Here is a 16,714-nt window from a genome sequence, read left to right on the forward strand (position 1 = left end):
TAAGCAAAGTGAGTGTGCCCCTCAGAAGTGTCCTCATCCAGTCCATTGAAAAAGAAAAACTTTACTCCCTCTCACTACACAACTGGCAGCTCCCATAAAACTGCTAGGAAGCACACTGCATCTCCTTCCAGGACTTGAAATGGGTCGTGTTATGCAGAAAGCAAGTTATTTCCAGAAATATGCAATGTTAAGAAAATAAATCACATTCTATCTCCTTCAACATGTCAAAGGTCCACTGAAAACTCTTGCTAAGAACACCACAAAATCACGTTTTGTCATCCTCATCCGATGGCAACAAATACAGGTTGGATCAAGTGGTGGATGAGCCGGCCCTCCCTGTGCTCATGCCCTATTCTGTCCAAGAATCTACGGCAGCGGCCCTCCCTGTCCTCATGCCCTATTCTGTCCTAGAATCTACGGCAGCGCCCCTACAGTCTAGCCAATCACATCACTTCCAAACTCCTCAGCTGGGGCCCCTGCTGGTGTCCCGCCCATGCCTAAAATGCCCTCCTTCCCCTACCGTCTCCAGTTCTCTCCCCCCACCCCCTACCACCCTCTTGTAACTTTCACAGCCCATTTCAGCTGTGAACCCAAATGTAGTCCAAATGCATCGAATTCTAATAGTTTTAAATTGTGCAGTGTCGCACACACTTGAGTCTCTTATGGTGCTTAACACAGTGCTAGGGACATCATAGGTGCTCAAGAAACTTGTTGCTAGGAGCATAATAGCTGCTCGATAAAACCCTTCTTTTATCTACCAGTGATACTGAATCGCTGAACTGAGGTAAATTACTCCATGGATTCAATCCAAAGAACGCTTTTGTATTAATTACCAAACTACTTAAGGCAGGAATGTTTTGTCTTAATTATGTAGACTATTATTTTAATTGTCACTTCTCAACTAAATACTCCAACTCCACCCCAGGCTTGCAAAACTCTGCAAGCTGAATCTTCACAAACAAGGAGAGATTAAGGAAATATTCTTCAAGGTCTCCAACAGCATCCTGAAAGGGATCACTGAAGCGATTATGCGCATAACTCTTCAGCTTCCACATGCTGTCCGGAGGAATGCTCCAGGTATTTTGGTTTGAATTATCTACCTAGTCACCTCTACCCTCCCCTACTACCCTCTTGTAAGGTAAGGGATGCCCAAAGTGGTGTTTAGGGTTAAAGTGTTTCCAAATAGCAGGATTTGGAACTTGCCAAAAAGATAAATAAGAAACCAGCGGGGGAAAAAAATTGAAACCTTTGTCACCAAAATAATGTAAAAATGTTTGTCTTCGAAAAAATATATATCTATTTTAAATCTGCAACTGCTTTGCTAAGGTCTCAAGAACCCCAAAACTGAGGAACGTGGATAAAAGACTGGCAGAACCCCTCTGAGAGGTCCCTTCAACCCCGCGTTCTTAAAACATTTCTTTTCTTTGCCTGCAAAATGCAGCCTTCCCCCAGAATAATTCCATGTAAAAAGCCCCCACCCGCGAGGAAACATTAATCTACTTTGCAAACATGCGTTCCAGTCTGTGCCTTACTATTTTTTTTTCCACTCCTTCCACCCCCACCCCGCGTTTTTTGTACCTTGAGACAAATGTTTTTTTCCCTCAGAGTTGAAAGCTGTCCAAAAACAGGACCACACACGCCGCCGCCTCCGCAGCCCCGCGCTGCGCCCGCCCCCGGCCCTCCCCAGCGCGGCGGCCGCGGCCGCCGGGGGCGCGCACACTCCAGCCAGCCGGAGGGGTGGCCTCTGGCTCTCCCCGACTCCTTTTTCTTTGGACGCGGTGGGTGGGGGTGGGGGAGAGAAGAAAGCCGGGCCGCGGAGCGGGGCCGGGAGAGGCCAGCCCCGGGGCGCCTCTCGGGGCGCGGCCCAGGCGGACAGCGGCAGCGGCGGCGGGCCCGGGGCCCCCGGCGCGCAGAGTGGTCCGTCCCGGAGGGGCCCCGCGCCCCCGTCCCGCCCCCGCCGCTCTCTCCCACCACACCTCGGCCGGCGCAGCGCCCCGAGTAGATTACAGCGCGGCCTTTGTCGGGCGGGCCTGGCTCCCGGCCAGGCGCCCAAACAATAAACAATCCCCCGGGTGCGGGCAGGGGGTTTCGCCGGCCGCAGCCAGGCTCTAGGTGTGCGCTGGCGAATATCTCTATCAACCGCGAGGAGGGACCGGGCCGGGGGCGCGGGCGCCGCGGCGGGCGCTCTTACCTTCCACCCACAGCTCCTCCACGTTGGTCTCGAGGTTCGCTGCTTTTAATCCCACCGCGAAGGCCCCAAATATGAGGAGGCCCACAACCAAGAACTTGCCGCAGTTTTTTTGAATGTAACAACCCAGTTTAAATAAGAGTCTCTGAAACTTCGCTCTCAGCCACAGCGGCGCTTTCCGGCCAGTAGCCTTCCCCTGGGGACGAAGCAGAAGGGAGGAGTGAGCGCCGGGGAGTCGCGGCCCGCGCGCCCACGCCCGCTTGCGCGCACCCGCCCGGTGAGCCCCCAACAGCCGTGGGGGCGCGGGTGGCCGCGGCACACGGACTCGCCCTCGAGACTGCAGCCCCGGCGGATCTGAGCGTCATGGGGGGCTCGGTCATAAAGCCGGGCCGCAGCGTGGGAGCTGCACCTCGGGGACATCAGGGCGCCCCCACCCGCGGGATCCCTGAGCGACTTGGGGCACTGGGGCTGCAATACAGAAGAGGAAGCCGAGGTAGAGAGGAGAGAAACCACTCGACACAGACAATATTCACCCCAGAGCTGAGAAGGGAGGGGCTGCGTAATCCCAGCGATGGAGCCCAAGGTTCAGGAGCCAGCAAACCAGTCCTGCTCTGTCCATCACCCTCGGGGACGGGCGCTAGGGGCGAGCGCTCTTTGGAACAACATATTGCGGGTTCCCCCAACTGGACCCCCGCCGAGAATGGTAGTAAGTGGGGATCCACGTGGTGAGCGCGGCCGCCGGAGTTCACTCCCGACGCATTTCCATAGCGTGGGGAGAGGCTGTGTGAGCTGAATTAGGAAGTGGGGCAGCCAGCTGCAACTTACGACAATATTTGTGATCGGAAGAGGGCAGCCACATGGATCTTTCCCTCCTCTCCCTTCCTTTCTGGTTAAACGTAAAAAACAGCCGAGTGCAAAGGGAAGGGCTCAGGCCGGCGCAGGCTGCTCCCCGGCGCGGCATTTCCCCGGCGCTGGCCGCGGCCCCGGCGGGCCCCCGTCTGGGTGCTCGCCTTCCCTGGATTCCACACATTTCAGCGAGCCTCGTAAACACAATGAACCCGGCAGCTCCGCAGACTCGCACCGCGAATTTAAGGTGGCAATTTGTTTACAACTTTTCCTCCCCCGACCAGGCCCTAAGGAGAGGCGGCTCAAAACCTGGAAAACGGGGGGGATATCTTTTTCCGAGAATAATTTTTTAAGGGAGCAGAGATTTCATGCTCAACAAAACCAAAACTGGCTGCCAAAAAAGGAAACCACCTTTATTTCGGCTCCCTCCCCCCTTCCTCTCTCCGCCTCTCTCCACTCCGCCTCCCCCTCCAAGATGTTAAGAAATGTGGCAGCCGTACAGGAGTTTAGGCTGCAAATAGGGGCAGGGGCGCAGGAGGAAGAAGTTCAGGGCAGGGGGCACGGGGCAGGACAGTGCCGCGGCCGCCCTTGAGGTGGTCCGCCGTGGACGGCTTTCCAGTGCTCCGGAAAAGGCACACCAGGGAGGGCGTGTGTATACACACACACACACGCACACACACACACCTCCACCCCCTGCGGACCTCAGACAGCCCTTTCCTCCCAGGACCAGAGGGAGGGTTTGAATTTTTCAATCCCCATTTGTCTGCTGCTTTTCCTGGAGAGGTGTGAGTGAGTGTGTGTGTGTGTGTGAGAGAGAGAGGAAGAGAGTGTGTGTGTTTGTGTGTGGCGGGGGCGATCCCAAAGAGTTAGAGGAGGGAAGAGAAAGTGGGAGGAGAGAGTCTGAAATGCACCTTGGAAATCTGCTCCAGAGCGAAGGCGGCGTCGCAGTAGCTGGGCCGGTGCAGATAGTCCCGGTCCGGCGCGGCAGCACGGCGCAGCCCCCCCGTCCGTCTGCGCCTCCCGCCTCCAGCCGGCCGTCCCGGGGCACCGATACAGCCGCTGCCGCCGCCGCCGCGGTCCTGGGGCTCGGCGGCGTTACCAGCCGAGGCCATGTTGCCGCCGCCGCCGCCGCCGCCGCGGGGACGGAGGCTTCCCGGGCGGCCCGGCGCGCTGCTGCCGCTGCTGCGGGCTCCTGGCGCGCCTGGGCGCTCGGCTTGCGAGGACGCTGCTGGCCGCAGGCTGCTCGGGCTCGGGCTCCGGTTGACAGACCAGCCGCTGCTGCTGCTCACACGGCGGGCGCTGCTGCCGCTGCGGCCGCGGCCGCTGCCGGGGAGTCAGACCCTGCGCCTTCCATTGCCACATTGCGCGGGGGTCCCGAGGTCTCTGCGGCCGCCGCTGCCCACATCCAGTTCGCGGAAGAGCGAGAGCCGGCGCGCCGAGCGAGCCTGTCCTTCGGGCGCTTCCGCGGCACTCCTTGCGGTCCCCAACTCCCCCTACCCGCCCCCCGCCCCGCGCCGCGACCCCTTCACTGCAGAAAGAGCCAGCGAATCCCCGCTGCTCCCGCCGGCCGCGCTGGCTCTCTCGGCGCCTCCCGGGTCGCCCGAGCGGCCGCGGAGGGCAAGCGCAGAGCCGCCGCCGCCGCGGGGTCCGAGGGTGCCCGGCGGGTCTCAGCGCTGCCGGGCCCGGGCAGCCGCAGCTGCCGCTGCTCCCGCGGTGGCTGCTGCTGGCGGTGGCGGCTCCAGGAGCTGCTGCTCGGGCTGCTCGGGCTCTGGCTGCTGGGTTCGCGGTGGCTGCTCGGTCCCGGACTCTGCTTTCTTGTGCTCCTCGGCAACCCGCTGGACCATTCTGTCCCCGTGCAGCGCGCCTCTCTCGCTCCCGGGACCTGGGGACTCCGCTCTGTGTGTGTGCAGCGGGCAGCGGCCGCAGCAGCTCCTTGATTCAATAGATGAGATGGAAGAAGAAAAAAAAGAACTCTCTCCATTTGGAGAAAGAAGAGGAGGAGGGGAGGGGAGGGGGTGGAGGGGGAGAGAGCGAGCGAAAGAGAAAAAGGCTGGAGCTCCCGCCCCCGGGGCTGTCAGATGGCTTGGGTTTCTGCGACGCGATTGGCTCGCGGAGGGCAGAAATTACTCAGCAAACATGACTATTATTAGCTGCTTAGCAACAGCTCACCAAAGTAGAGAGACCACCCAGGTAGGCAACCCAGTGTGTGCATCCTCGGCTTCGGGGCAGCCTCTGAGAGCGCCAACCTTCTCGCATGCAATACTTCCATTAAGGAATGCTCCCCCTCCTTTCTCTCTTATTCCTTTTCTTTTCAACAGTGTCTTCTTTTTGTGGGATGCCTTTGCGCGCACACACGCGCGCGCACGCACACACACGAACATTTGCCTCGCGGTAGACACGGGGGGAAATGTAATATTTTTTTAAGCGCTTAAACAATTTCTGAAATTCCTCAAAGAAAAGCCTTTCAGAGGCACCTTGGCCTCAAGCTGCAGCAAATACTGGGAGGTCCGGCTCGCATTCCCAGGCCTGCACCAATAATGACAGCGTGCTGGATAGTGCGCCAGTGTGTGCCAGATTTTTTTTTCCTCTTCTCTTTTCTTTTATAACTAAAGGGAAGACTTAGGCTCTTGCAGGGAACAACGCCTCGCATTAAGATAAACAGAATGGAAAGTTAAAGAGGAAAGCAAGGACGTTGGGAAAAGCCATCTTTCTTAAAATCCGTCTGCCCCCCAGCCGCTTTCTCCCCCCAACTTAAAAAAAAAAAAAACACAGTCTTGGTTTGAAGGAGTCAGTGTTCTATAAACGTGGAATCCAGACACCGAAGCAGTCTTGTAGAGGCAGAGGCGTTTTTATTTGAATCTCGAATGTGACATAAGTAAAAGAGAAACAACAGAATCTTTTTTTACAACTTAGAGAAACGGAATTGTTTCCTTGAGAGAGTAAAGTTTTCCTGATTATTTTGGGTTCATTTGTACACCCCTTTTTATTAACCAGATGTTTATATAGTCAGTATTTTTTTTTACAAAACTCGGTATGCATGTTATATTTAATAATAGTATGACGTAGGAGATTATAAATGCCCCGATGCTGGATTCATTGAAAACAAACTGTGCGCGGATCGCGAGGATTCGTCCCGACACCGCGTCCAGTGTCACCAAGGCATCCCGGGGATTCGCTTCCCGCGGAGGGGGAAAACACGCGACCCTTTGAGGTGGATTCTGGAGCCAGACACGTCTACACAACTAGGCTTTTTATTTAAAAAAATTTTTGTTTTCGGAAAGTGGAATGTGTTTTTCTTACGTTTCCAAGTTATTACGTTCCTCCCTGCGGTAGGAACCCGACCCGCAAACCCTTGATTTGCTTCACTTTATTTTTTTTTTTAAACGGGGTTGAACTGCAGAGGGACTGGCAGTAGCGAGAAGTCTAGTGAAGTCGTGAAATGGGGCGGTGTGGCTTTAAGATGCGCACGGTGTATGTTCATTGAAAAAAAAAGAAGAAAGAAAGGAAAGGAAAGAAAGAAACCCAGATGGAGGGAAAGGGGGAGGAGCAGGGAGAAGGCGGAGCTCCGGTGGCCACGTGACCCCGCGCCAGGAGGCCCGGTGCGCGCGCGCGCCCGGCTCCCGGACTCCCCGCGCCCGCGCGGCCGGGGCAGAGTAGGTAGGGAGGCGGATGCGCCGGGCCGGCTCCGGGCCTCCAGCGCGGTCTCCCGAGAGCCCAGGCGAGGCGCGCGCCCAGCCGGCGCGGACGGACGTGCCGGACGCGCCGTAGTACATTCCTGAAGGCGGACCGGCCCCCTTACGCTGCCCAATGCCCGCGCCGCCTCCCCGCGACCGGCCAATGGTCGCGCTCACGAGTCCCTGCCCATTCAGCGGCCCCGCGCTGGCTGCCCGGGCGCGCTGGGGGCTGCGGCGGGGCGCGCCGGCCACCGGGGCGGTCCACGCGGCTCCCGCAGGGGGCCCGTCCGCCGGCTCTCCCCGCCCCCTTCCTTCCTCCCCGGCGGTTTCCCCTCCCCGCTTCCTTCCTTCGGCCTGCGCCTTCTCCTTCCTCCCTCGCCCCGCTCCCTCCCTCAATCTCCCCTCCCCCACCAGCCTGGCCACCTTCCCTCCAGCCTCTCCTCCTCCCCGGCTTCAGGGGGAGGCCCTTCCCCCGACCCCCTAACCCGCAAACCGTATGCGGTGCCGGGGTCAGGGCGGGATGTCCCGAGGAAGAGAGGGAGACGGGGTGGAGGTGTTTGGGGGCGTTCGCGGGATCCGGAGGGGGACCTGAGCACCGGGCCAGCGCGGAAATTCAAAACTCAGACCGCTTAAGGAGCACGTGATTTTGTGAGTGCCTCAGGGAAGGGCTGCGGAAACTCGGAAAGCAGGCGGGCAGCATGCGAGGAAAATGACACTGAGTTGATAAAGAGCTCAGACGGCTCCACACATTGCCAGTTTCATCTTTGAGTACGATCCTGATGTTTATTAGGTTTGATAAATAGCACAAAACAGGAAAAGAGGTTTACTATTCTAGCTTTTCTTACTGAATGGTTATGCCGACACTTCAAGTCGAACCATTGTGTGTTTGCTTCTGGAAATTGCTTTTTAAAAACTGGGGGAGGGGGGTAGTACCCCTAGTTTTGCATGTTAGCCTTTTTATATTTCAAGCTTGCTGGAGGGCAAGGAACCATATAGCCAAAGACACGTTGCTATGTTTGTCTTTTCAAACTTCTCCACCACGTTTTGGCCCAAAACTATTAGTGTTTCGTCTCAATCTTTTACTAGAGGGATTTCAGTATAGCTTGTTTGGAAGAAGGAATTCTGGAAGGAAATGGTAAGCTGTGTGCCCGTAATGGATCCGCCTCACTCTCCGCACGCGGCTGCATGTCCTCTGGTTCCGGCGGCTGCCACATGCACGTCATTTCAGTGGCAAAGCCTCTTCCACTCAGGCCCATATCCCTTAGTTTGACTTAATTCCTAAACGTTTTGAACATTGATCCCCGGAGCTTTCAGTGCCCTGAGCCCCCTCGCCCGCTGTTTGATGGGTTAACTTTTCAGCATCTCAGACAATGGTCCCGGCCTGTAAATTCTACCCGTGGGTTCCAGGACGCACTCCGGAGCCTCGGCTCTAACGAGCGCTATCTTAATCTCCCCACCCCCCACCCGCCGCTTCCCCTGTGGTCTGCTTTTTTCATACTTAGAGATGAATTACTTTGAGGATCTAATTGGCCTTGTTTCTGTAACGTTTTAAGAAAGGGAAGAGGAGCCAGTGTAAAAGCCTGCTCGACTTGGGTGGTCAGGGCTGAGGCTGCCCCCAATTTGCCTCATTGCTGATGCATGCGAGTGCGACATTCCCAGCGATAATGTTGTTCCTAATCAATCTGCCCTTATTTACATTTGTAAGCATTGTCGGCTTTAATATGCATGCCCTGTGCAGGGGACTGCTGTGCCACACCGGGTTTGTTAACTTCAACTAACCACAAGGATTCCACAGATCTGAGATGCAGACTGGGGCAGCCAGACCTGCTAAGGTGTCCTCCGGGAAGACAGTCCCTTTAAATGGCCCTTCTGCCTCTGGCACCCCTTGTGACAGTTACCAAATAAAAATAAGTGAGAACTTGGGGCCTTATCAGCCAGCAGGAGTTGCCAGCCTTTATGAAGCAACAGCTGAGTGTTCCATTTCCCCTTTCCAAGTAAAGTTCATCTCAATGCATAAATTGTCATTTTGGTCTCCCAGTCATGATCCAAGACTTCTCATTGGAGTGTGTAGTTTTCAAAGCAGATGCCTTAAGCTCTCCGGATTCCCTCACATCTCCTCCCTTCTCTGTTCCAATACTACAAATATCCATGGCCACACCACACACATTTCAAAAATGACATCAGATTATCCAAATGATGACAATGAAATAAAACATCTGCCCTTTGTGTTGGGATGTTCCAATGGTAAGCAATTGTGGAAGCCAGACTTGGTGGAGTTATGAAAAACCACAGTGAGATTTAACTTTTCACTGGTTTCTCAGATCAAACCAAATGAGTCTTTAAAATCCAATGTAATTTGGCAAGTTTTGCAGAGTATAAATGAATAAAGGGGTTAATGTATTCCAGTAATTTGACCCTGGGGCCATTTATAATTTTGTCTACTGAGTTTAATACTCTTCCAGAAATACAAGGAATTGCAAACATGATTTTAAGTCCTACAGTATTTTTGTTGAGAGGGTCGGATGGAGAGAGGAATTGGGGATTTGATGCAATATTCTTTTACTGCATGGGGAGCCCAGGATACAGGATGTGAGTGATGGTCAAGGCAGGGCTTCAGCAGTTCCAAGCAGGTACCTTGAATATGAGTTGAGTCGACTCAACTCAAGCCAATGTGCCACCATCCACCACATTTTCTTGGCTCCCTAAGAATGCCTTACTATTTTCTCATTGGCAGCTTTTGTATATTCTTAAAAGGTGATGGTAGAAAATGAGTCTAAAAGGTTTCAGGGAAGTCGGGGACGGGGTGGGGGGAGATTCAGCAGCTACAAAATTTAAAACTACTGGGCTTGACTCCCCTCCCCTACTCCCTTCCACCTTCTGTTTCCTCCCCTTATTTACCCCCTCCCCAGGCTGGAGGAAAGGGAACAGCTCTAGCCAACTTGTCAAAATAATGCTGCTAATTACCCCTGATCTCCTTTAATGGGAAGCTGCTCCTAACTCCACAAAGGAGTAAATGAGGGGTCTACAGCACAAACCCGGGAGCACTGGCATTTTTTGAGCTTACAGTGAGCTGGGGGTGGGGAAAGCGGCAGAGGGGAGTGTCCTGAGAAGGTCCCAGAAATCTCCACATTGATTACTCCAGGTCTAAATACTAGCTTGAAAGGGGAATTAGACTTTATGTATTGCCAAAAGCTATTGGTATTCTCTTGCTAAGCATGTCACCAACTGCTGAATGTTCAGAGCCTACTATGAACTTGAAAGAAAACAGAGCATTGACCCCTGCATTGATCCCTCTCTCTCCAAATATATTCTTACCCACATTGCTTTCCTCTCATGGATAGAGATGTATTCCTACAACACCCAGACTTTGAACATGTTTTGCATCCTTCCCTCTCCTCGCCTCTCCCTGTCTAATATATCTCTATCAAGCTTTGCGTTTGCTAGGAGGCACACCATTCATTTCAGTGATCTCTGCTATTGGGTCCTGCATGAAAAAGAAGCTGAGCAACATGATCCCTTTGACCCACTGCTGGAGCAACAAATTTATCAGAAATATAGGCATGAGAAATGAAAGGGAAGTAAAACAATTCCAGCTTATTGTGTGTCTTTCTTTCATACTGCTAATCCGGTTTACACATCACGCCTACACGTCTCAATAGGGCATTATACACTGTGGCAGAGGCTGGAGAAAATAAAAGGTGTGTGTGTGTGTGTGTGTGTGTGTGAGAGAGAGAGAGGAATGAGGATAAAAACGGGAGACATATTTTAATCCACATTGATTAACCTCATCAGTTTATCTATCTGTAGAAAGTTGAAGATAATTTTGTAAAACAGCCTTTTTCTTTTCAGAAAATAATTCCAAATGGTTCTAAGTTTTGTTCAAATAGCTTCAAAGATTATGACTACTTTATAACCAGAAATTAGATACACCACTCACAGTGAGTTTGAAATGAAGCTAATACCCCAAATTGAGAATGGCGGGGCCTATTGATGTCTACCTTGATTCAACATTTTAATTGAAACAGATCATGGACTCAAAGGCATTTTATAGCCTTGTGGAAGGAAGCTGGGTGACAACTGGAACACACATAAACTCACAATCGAAAGCCCCTTGTTTTACAACTTGGGCACTCCATGCACCTGAGGCAACAATTTATCCGGAGTACCACCCAGAAATTTTAAGTTGCAATAACAAAGGATGACACCATAAAGCATTGTCTTTCTTTGTGGAGGCGATTAATTGCATGCTGAACTACTGTCGCCAATAAACACAGAAATAAATAAAAACCTAAAAGAAATGCACACACACAGAATGCTGAAAAAGGACTATTGTGGTAGTTCAAGACCTCAGTGATCCAATTATCAAATATTTAGAGCCACCCATTGTGGCTCTTTATTATTTATGTCTAGTTCTTTTGTATTTCTCCTCCCCAGGGAGGAAGAAAGGATAAAAAGGGAGGAAGACGGTCTTCTCTCCCAGGTGCAGGAAAACAGGTCTGTGGGTGTCTTCCACAGCCGCCCACCCATATGGTTCTTCTTAGGTGATGGAAACAGATCAGTTTCCCTGAGAGTGTGCTCATCCACACGCTAGCATCATTTTAAACATGAACGTACTAAATACGTGGAGACACAGCGCATGTCACCCAGAGGCACAGTTTCTGGGGGTCTTGGGGTTCAGCGCTGGGCCCGGGCCTGTAAAGTGAGAATCGGTCCGGCCCGCCCCCGGGCTCCCCTGAGGCCGCACTCTGCACTCTAAGCACTGGGCTGGTCGCCCATCTCTGTAAGGGTGGCAGCCACCCAAGCGCCTGAATCGGTGGGCATAAGAGTCACACACACCACCTCTCTTACCCACCGCCCCTTCCAGAACTCCAAAAGCCTCTCTGGCCCTTTTCCCGCAGCATGGGAGGGGAGGTGGGTAAGGTGCGTCTCTTCTAGCCCGGGTGTCCCGCACCCCTAGGCGTGCGTGCGGGCTCGAGAGCGGGTCTGCGGGGCGCGAGCGTGCCCTTCCCTGCGGCTGCGGCTGCTCCCGCGAGCTGGCGGCAGCGGCTTCCGCGCGCGCGCTCTGAGCCCCCTCCCCTCGGCGCTGTCACTCTCCGCACCAGCCCTTCCATCACCAGCTCTGCCTCCGCTGGCGAGTCAGTAGCCACCACCAGGCTGATGAGCGGAAGCCAAGGTGGCGACCCTTTCAGGCGTGAAAATGGGAGCTCCGGCGACCCCCTCCGTGAGAATTCCCCCCGGAGCCGTTCCTCAGCCGGGGCCCGCCGCGGCCAGCCCCCTCCCCGCCACGCGGGGCTGGCCTCGGGGGCGGGGGCCCGGGCGTGCGAGCGAGCGTGGAGGCGCGGGACCCGCGCTCCCGCGCCCAGGCGGCGCAGCCCACCCGGCTCCACGGCCCCGGCGCGCGGCCCGCCCCTCCTGCCCGGCGCTCGGGGCTCGCTCCTCCGTCCGCCGCGCGGGGCGTCCCGCGTCCCCGTGTCCCCGCGCCGCCCGAGGAGCACGGCGCGCGAGGCGAGGTGGCGTCGGCGGCCGCCGCGCTGGCTGCACTCACCATAGCCGGCCGTCAACCCCTGCTCGGAGCGCGGGTGCCGATGGCGCGGACGCTGGGCTTGGATTTCACATCAATTCCTTTTTTTTCCCTGGCCCCCCTTTCCTCGTCCTCCGCTCCTCCGTCTTCTCCCAGTCTTCCCTCGTCTCCCCCTTGCCTTGTCGCTGCGGGTCTCTTTGTCTCCCCTGTCGTCTTTTTCTTCTCCTCCGTTTTCTTCTTCTTCTTCTCCTCCTCCTCCGTCTTTACAAAAGGAACGGAAAGTGTAAAAACCCCGGCGCGCTGGGCCGCCGGAGGCTTTCGGCGGAGTGCAGCGCGGACTCACAATTACAAGCCTGTTTCTATTAAGCAGTTCCATGGCCCTCGGCGTGGGTGGTCTGCCGCGCCATAGGCAGGACCTGTCAGGGTCACGTGACGGATCCGAAAACTTTACCCCTTTACAATAAACTCAAGGAAAGCAAAGTAAACTCGAGGAACGTGCTATCAGCACAGCCCTCCTGGGTAAACAGGCGCTCCCCTCCCCGCCTTCCTGGGAGGCGCCCTGCCCGGCGAGCTCCCGCGAGCCTAGCCACCCTCTCCCCGCCCCCCGCGGCCGTGTTTGCGGGGGGCCGCCGGGCTGGGGGTCTCCGCGCGCTCCCGCGGCTTCTCCACCTTGTGCTCGGCTCCCCCGCCCCCGCACACATTATTTGCTAACATTTGGCCATCTTGTCCCAACGCCGGTCGGGGGAGGTGTGGGGAAGCAAGGAAGCTCCTTTTAGCATCCTCAGCGGTCCGGGAAGTGGGGGGTTCCCAGAGGACTGCAGAAGAACACCACCTTTCATGCTTGCATTCTCAAAGCCTTTCCTTCTCGCATTCCCACGGAAGCGCGGAAAAGCTGGGAGCCTTCTAGATGACAGGCCTACGGGCCGCCAGAGGGGCGGGGAGCAGGAAAACCGGACAGATCACAGCGCCTTCCCGGGGAAATTTCAGCACGAGATGTGTGCGGATTCGTGTCGGTCCCTCGGAAGCCGTTTCTTCTGAAAGAGACCAAGGTGGCGTCCCTTGGAAACCAAGATTTGTACCTGGTCCGAAGAATCACGGATTGACATTTGCTCCCTTTCTCTTCTGATTCCTGTGGTTTCTGGGGTATGCCACCCAAATGCTCCCACCTACTGTGCCGTCCTGTGCCAGGCGGCCTTGGGTGACTGGCCTAAACCTAGGAGCTGGTGGGTCGCGCGGATAACCCTGCTCTCGCTCAAGACTGAAGCGTTCTATTCGGGAGCGCCCCCGCTACAATGTCTGACATTTTATCTGCTCAACCCCGCCGCTGGTAGACGGTGTTTCACACACTGCGACTTTAAATGGGCCACATTATGAATAAAGATGAATTACAGATACAAGGGCAGGGTAGAGGGAGTGAGAACATTTACTGCAGCTCTGAAGAGCTGACTAGCTGGTCTTGAAATAAAGCCAGACTCTTCTCACTTCATTCTGGGCTGACAGTGTGATTAGGTGTGTGTGTGTGTTGGGGGCGGGGGGGGCGGGGCGGGGGTAGAAGAGGTGCCCCATGTGTTATTAAATAATAATAATCATCCTAGGAGTTTTGGGATCTCCCTCCCACAAAGATGACGTAGCCATTCTTGAGCAGAGTCATTTGAGTTTCCAGAATGTATGTGTTTGAGACACGTTAAGTAATTAAGCATTAGAAGGGGGGCAGCCCTGTGAATTTGGCTGGTCCAGAAGGTCATTTTCATACCAGTGACTTCAGTCAAAAATGGACTCAAATGCATATTGGCTGACCATGGATTCTAAAAGTCACAATAGTTGTAACAACAACAACAAAAAACCCAACATTTCCCTTCGAAACACTTCCCCCTGTCTTTTGGTGTCATATCAAAGGGCCCTGTTTATCTATAAATGTGAGTGGGGTTATGAACAGGAAGGTATACATAATCTCCAAATAGAGGGGTCTAGAATATGAGGGAGAAAGGGGGATAAGAAAAAAGAGAAACAGCCGACAAAGGGCATTTAAATGGCCCACAATATACAGTTGCTAGGAAAATTACAGCAGAACTTGAGGAGTTTGCTTTTTCTAGTTAAAATGAAGACCCTCATGGAAGCACACTTGGCTACATGCTCCTGCTGAGTTGTGGCCAAGGCTGATACTCAAGAGTGGACACTAGTTTTGTGTGGCCTAGGACTTAGGCAGCTTTCAGAGTGAACGGGGAGTGGGGAGCTTCTTTAGCAACTCAAAACTGCAAACACAAAATTAAGTACAGGGCCTTGAAGTGGCCTGGGCAGGGAGGAGCCCTAAAGCTACCTGGGCTTCTAGGAAATCGCCTTTCTTGAGTGTGCAGACAGGAGGACGACAGAACTACCCAGTCTTTGTGGTCCTGGTGGTCTACGCTGTCCCTTAGTTAGGACTGAATGTGTTCATATGAGTCTTATCTTAGTCCAAGGCTTTACAATTGGGAGCAAAGACAAGTTTGTTTTGTACAAGAGTGTAAGTACTTAGAGTTGGGCAGGAGTGGCATAATGAGGCAGGGAGTAGAAAATCTGGTGTTAAAACGTACAAGTATAGGAAGGAGGGAAGCCCCTGGAAATGTTCTCTCTTGTAGAATGTAAAAAGTTCCTCTTCAAAGTTTCCCCTTCCCTTCTTGTTAAAGAATAAATCATAAGTGTTAAAAATAATAGTTTCTTTTAAAAACTAACTTCCTTCAAGCCTCCTTGCTTTGTGCTAATAACTCTTTGTTAAGCCCTATCGTATGTAGCTGTTAAACATGCTCACAGGCACATAGTACATTCTATGTCCTTGTACCTTAACCAAGATATTTATGCTGGACATGCTCACAGGCAAGTTCCAGCTGGCAGCCTATGGCCCTTCCCTGTATGGCACAAGCAACTTCCTGTTTTCCTTTGTCTTTTCATTACTTTTACCTATTTAGAAAAGTTTTAAACTGTTAGCCAATCTGGTTTTAGTTTAGATTGTGAGGTCTGGCTCCAGCCAATGGAGACAGGACACAGTCTCAGGAACAAACTATGTAAGGGATAAAAATTGCTTCCCTCCTTTGTTCAGGTGTGCTGTCACATTGTTTCATCTCTGATGAGCACCCTTTCTGCAGAAAGTAATAATGGCCTTGCTGAGAGAATTAAATTTATGTTCGAGTGCTGTTTCTTCGAGTGCTGTTTCTTTGCAGCACCAGGGAACAAGCATTCTGTTTCTAAATAAACATTTTCCATGTAACGTCTCCCAAAAGCAACCTGTCTTTCTTTTCCTTCCTTTGAAATCAATCTTCGCAGATTATGTCAGTGCTGTGCCTCTCTTCTCTCCACTCTCAGATGCTAGAAGCATTAAGTCAATGATATAGGTTCTGGTTGGGGGTCAGGGACTCAACACCCTTATGTGTTACCTTCTAGTGCTTCTCTGAGACTCCCACCAGGGTGGGCCCTCTCTCATCAAACAGCTGCCTCCACACTTCTAAAGTTGCTTATGTCTCCCCACTTCCCAAAAACCAGCTCCAGTGCTGCCCAATCTAAGTCAATTGGCATGGAGGTGTTAATGGCACACAAGGCTACCAGACAACACCGCTCAGCTCCAAGTCTTCCCAGTCTGATAAGCCAATTGGCATCCAGGTGTTAATGGCTGATGAGGCTACTAGACAATACTTTTGCTGGTTAACTTGGACTTTTGGAGCCATACACAGAAGAATAATTCCAAAGCTGAAGATTTCAGGGCAGGGCCAGATGGAGATTTAGGGGGCATTGGAAGACAGGACAATAGGACTTTTGAAACAGGCCTGAAACCGACTGAAAACAGACCACAATGAGTATGCATAGGCGAGGTTGTCTTTCTGAATATTGTTGCTACTGGAGATACAGTGTTACTCTTTGTTTTTGTTTTTGTTTTTTGAGATGGAGTCTCACTCTGTCACCAGGCTGGAGTGCAGTGGCACAATCTTGGCTCACTGCAACCTTCACCTCCCGGGTTCAAGCAATTCTCATCCTCTCGAGTAACTGGGATTACAGGCACACACCGCCACACCAGCTAATTTTTGTATTTTTAGTAGAGATGAGGTTTCACCATGTTGGCCAGGATGGTCTTGATCTCCTGACCTTGTGATCCGCCCACCTTGGCCTTCCAAAGTGCTGGAATCACAGGTCTGAGCCACTGTGCCTGGCCCAGTGTTACTCTTGTACCATCAACATACACACTTATACACACACTTGCACATGCATACATGTGTTCACACATTCTTCATTTTAAGCTCCCCTCTTCTCTGGCTCCCAATAAAAATGGGTGCCTAAGAGTTTCCATTCATCTCCTCCCTCACGGTAACCTCCAGCAATTGGAAGGCTTTCAAATGAGTAACTGAGGGTTCAGAAGAAACAGTTGCCCACATTTAAGGAGCTCTCCACCTCAAGATGAATGCTGCTCTTGCACATGGTCAGTGGCCATACCACACTGGCCACACCTTAGGCGTGGTCAGT

At 53.2% G+C, this 16,714-nt stretch overlaps 1 protein-coding gene across 10 annotated transcripts in view, besides 13 other annotated features; it reads right to left on the minus strand.

The window, feature by feature from the left end:
* PTCH1 (patched 1) overlaps positions 1–12,756 on the minus strand; it is a 73,992-nt gene extending 61,236 nt beyond the window's left edge. For 3 of the 10 annotated variants that reach the window (NR_149061.2, NM_001354918.2, NM_000264.5), the window contains exons 1-2: positions 3,946–5,051; positions 2,192–2,384 (exon numbers count right to left, since the gene is read on the minus strand). Coding sequence is in view for 5 of the 10 variants with exons in the window: in NM_001354918.2 (NP_001341847.1) it covers positions 2,192–2,384; positions 3,946–4,146 (394 nt within the window). In the remaining 5 variants the exon portion in view is untranslated. Of the gene's footprint in view, positions 1–2,191; positions 2,385–2,721; positions 2,985–3,013; positions 3,213–3,718; positions 3,826–3,945; positions 5,052–12,253 lie in introns of those variants that run through there. The other 7 variants (NM_001083602.3, NM_001354919.2, NM_001083603.3 and 4 more) reach the window with 6 other exon arrangements.
* Positions 1,677–1,736: a silencer, noted in NCBI's record as "silent region_20067". NCBI's record gives its function as "represses an Ori minimal core promoter by ATAC-STARR-seq in GM12878 lymphoblastoid cells {active_cell/tissue: GM12878}" and the evidence as "EXISTENCE:reporter gene assay evidence [ECO:0000049][PMID:35858748]".
* Positions 1,897–1,956: a silencer, noted in NCBI's record as "silent region_20068". NCBI's record gives its function as "represses an Ori minimal core promoter by ATAC-STARR-seq in GM12878 lymphoblastoid cells {active_cell/tissue: GM12878}" and the evidence as "EXISTENCE:reporter gene assay evidence [ECO:0000049][PMID:35858748]".
* Positions 2,387–2,626: a silencer, noted in NCBI's record as "silent region_20069". NCBI's record gives its function as "represses an Ori minimal core promoter by ATAC-STARR-seq in GM12878 lymphoblastoid cells {active_cell/tissue: GM12878}" and the evidence as "EXISTENCE:reporter gene assay evidence [ECO:0000049][PMID:35858748]".
* Positions 2,732–3,365: an enhancer, noted in NCBI's record as "H3K27ac hESC enhancer chr9:98269229-98269862 (GRCh37/hg19 assembly coordinates)". NCBI's record gives its function as "activates a minimal SCP1, AML or CMV promoter by ChIP-STARR-seq in primed H9 embryonic stem cells {active_cell/tissue: H9 hESC(primed)}" and the evidence as "EXISTENCE:reporter gene assay evidence [ECO:0000049][PMID:30033119]".
* Positions 3,157–3,206: a silencer, noted in NCBI's record as "silent region_20070". NCBI's record gives its function as "represses an Ori minimal core promoter by ATAC-STARR-seq in GM12878 lymphoblastoid cells {active_cell/tissue: GM12878}" and the evidence as "EXISTENCE:reporter gene assay evidence [ECO:0000049][PMID:35858748]".
* Positions 3,987–4,306: a silencer, noted in NCBI's record as "silent region_20071". NCBI's record gives its function as "represses an Ori minimal core promoter by ATAC-STARR-seq in GM12878 lymphoblastoid cells {active_cell/tissue: GM12878}" and the evidence as "EXISTENCE:reporter gene assay evidence [ECO:0000049][PMID:35858748]".
* Positions 4,951–5,500: an enhancer, noted in NCBI's record as "NANOG hESC enhancer chr9:98271448-98271997 (GRCh37/hg19 assembly coordinates)". NCBI's record gives its function as "activates a minimal SCP1, AML or CMV promoter by ChIP-STARR-seq in naive H9 embryonic stem cells {active_cell/tissue: H9 hESC(naive)}" and the evidence as "EXISTENCE:reporter gene assay evidence [ECO:0000049][PMID:30033119]".
* Positions 6,454–7,217: an enhancer, noted in NCBI's record as "H3K27ac hESC enhancer chr9:98272951-98273714 (GRCh37/hg19 assembly coordinates)". NCBI's record gives its function as "activates a minimal SCP1, AML or CMV promoter by ChIP-STARR-seq in naive H9 embryonic stem cells {active_cell/tissue: H9 hESC(naive)}" and the evidence as "EXISTENCE:reporter gene assay evidence [ECO:0000049][PMID:30033119]".
* Positions 6,581–7,020: a silencer, noted in NCBI's record as "silent region_20072". NCBI's record gives its function as "represses an Ori minimal core promoter by ATAC-STARR-seq in GM12878 lymphoblastoid cells {active_cell/tissue: GM12878}" and the evidence as "EXISTENCE:reporter gene assay evidence [ECO:0000049][PMID:35858748]".
* Positions 7,218–7,979: an enhancer, noted in NCBI's record as "H3K27ac hESC enhancer chr9:98273715-98274476 (GRCh37/hg19 assembly coordinates)". NCBI's record gives its function as "activates a minimal SCP1, AML or CMV promoter by ChIP-STARR-seq in naive H9 embryonic stem cells {active_cell/tissue: H9 hESC(naive)}" and the evidence as "EXISTENCE:reporter gene assay evidence [ECO:0000049][PMID:30033119]".
* Positions 7,218–8,817: a biological region, named in NCBI's record as "VISTA enhancer hs1417".
* Positions 7,241–7,290: a silencer, noted in NCBI's record as "silent region_20073". NCBI's record gives its function as "represses an Ori minimal core promoter by ATAC-STARR-seq in GM12878 lymphoblastoid cells {active_cell/tissue: GM12878}" and the evidence as "EXISTENCE:reporter gene assay evidence [ECO:0000049][PMID:35858748]".
* Positions 7,845–8,817: an enhancer, noted in NCBI's record as "VISTA enhancer hs1417". NCBI's record gives its function as "enhancer in: forebrain[5/8]" and the evidence as "EXISTENCE:transgenic organism evidence [ECO:0001131][PMID:17130149]".

Source organism: Homo sapiens, chromosome 9, assembly GCF_000001405.40.
Source record: "Homo sapiens chromosome 9, GRCh38.p14 Primary Assembly".
NCBI classification, from domain to species: Eukaryota; Metazoa; Chordata; class Mammalia; order Primates; family Hominidae; genus Homo; species Homo sapiens.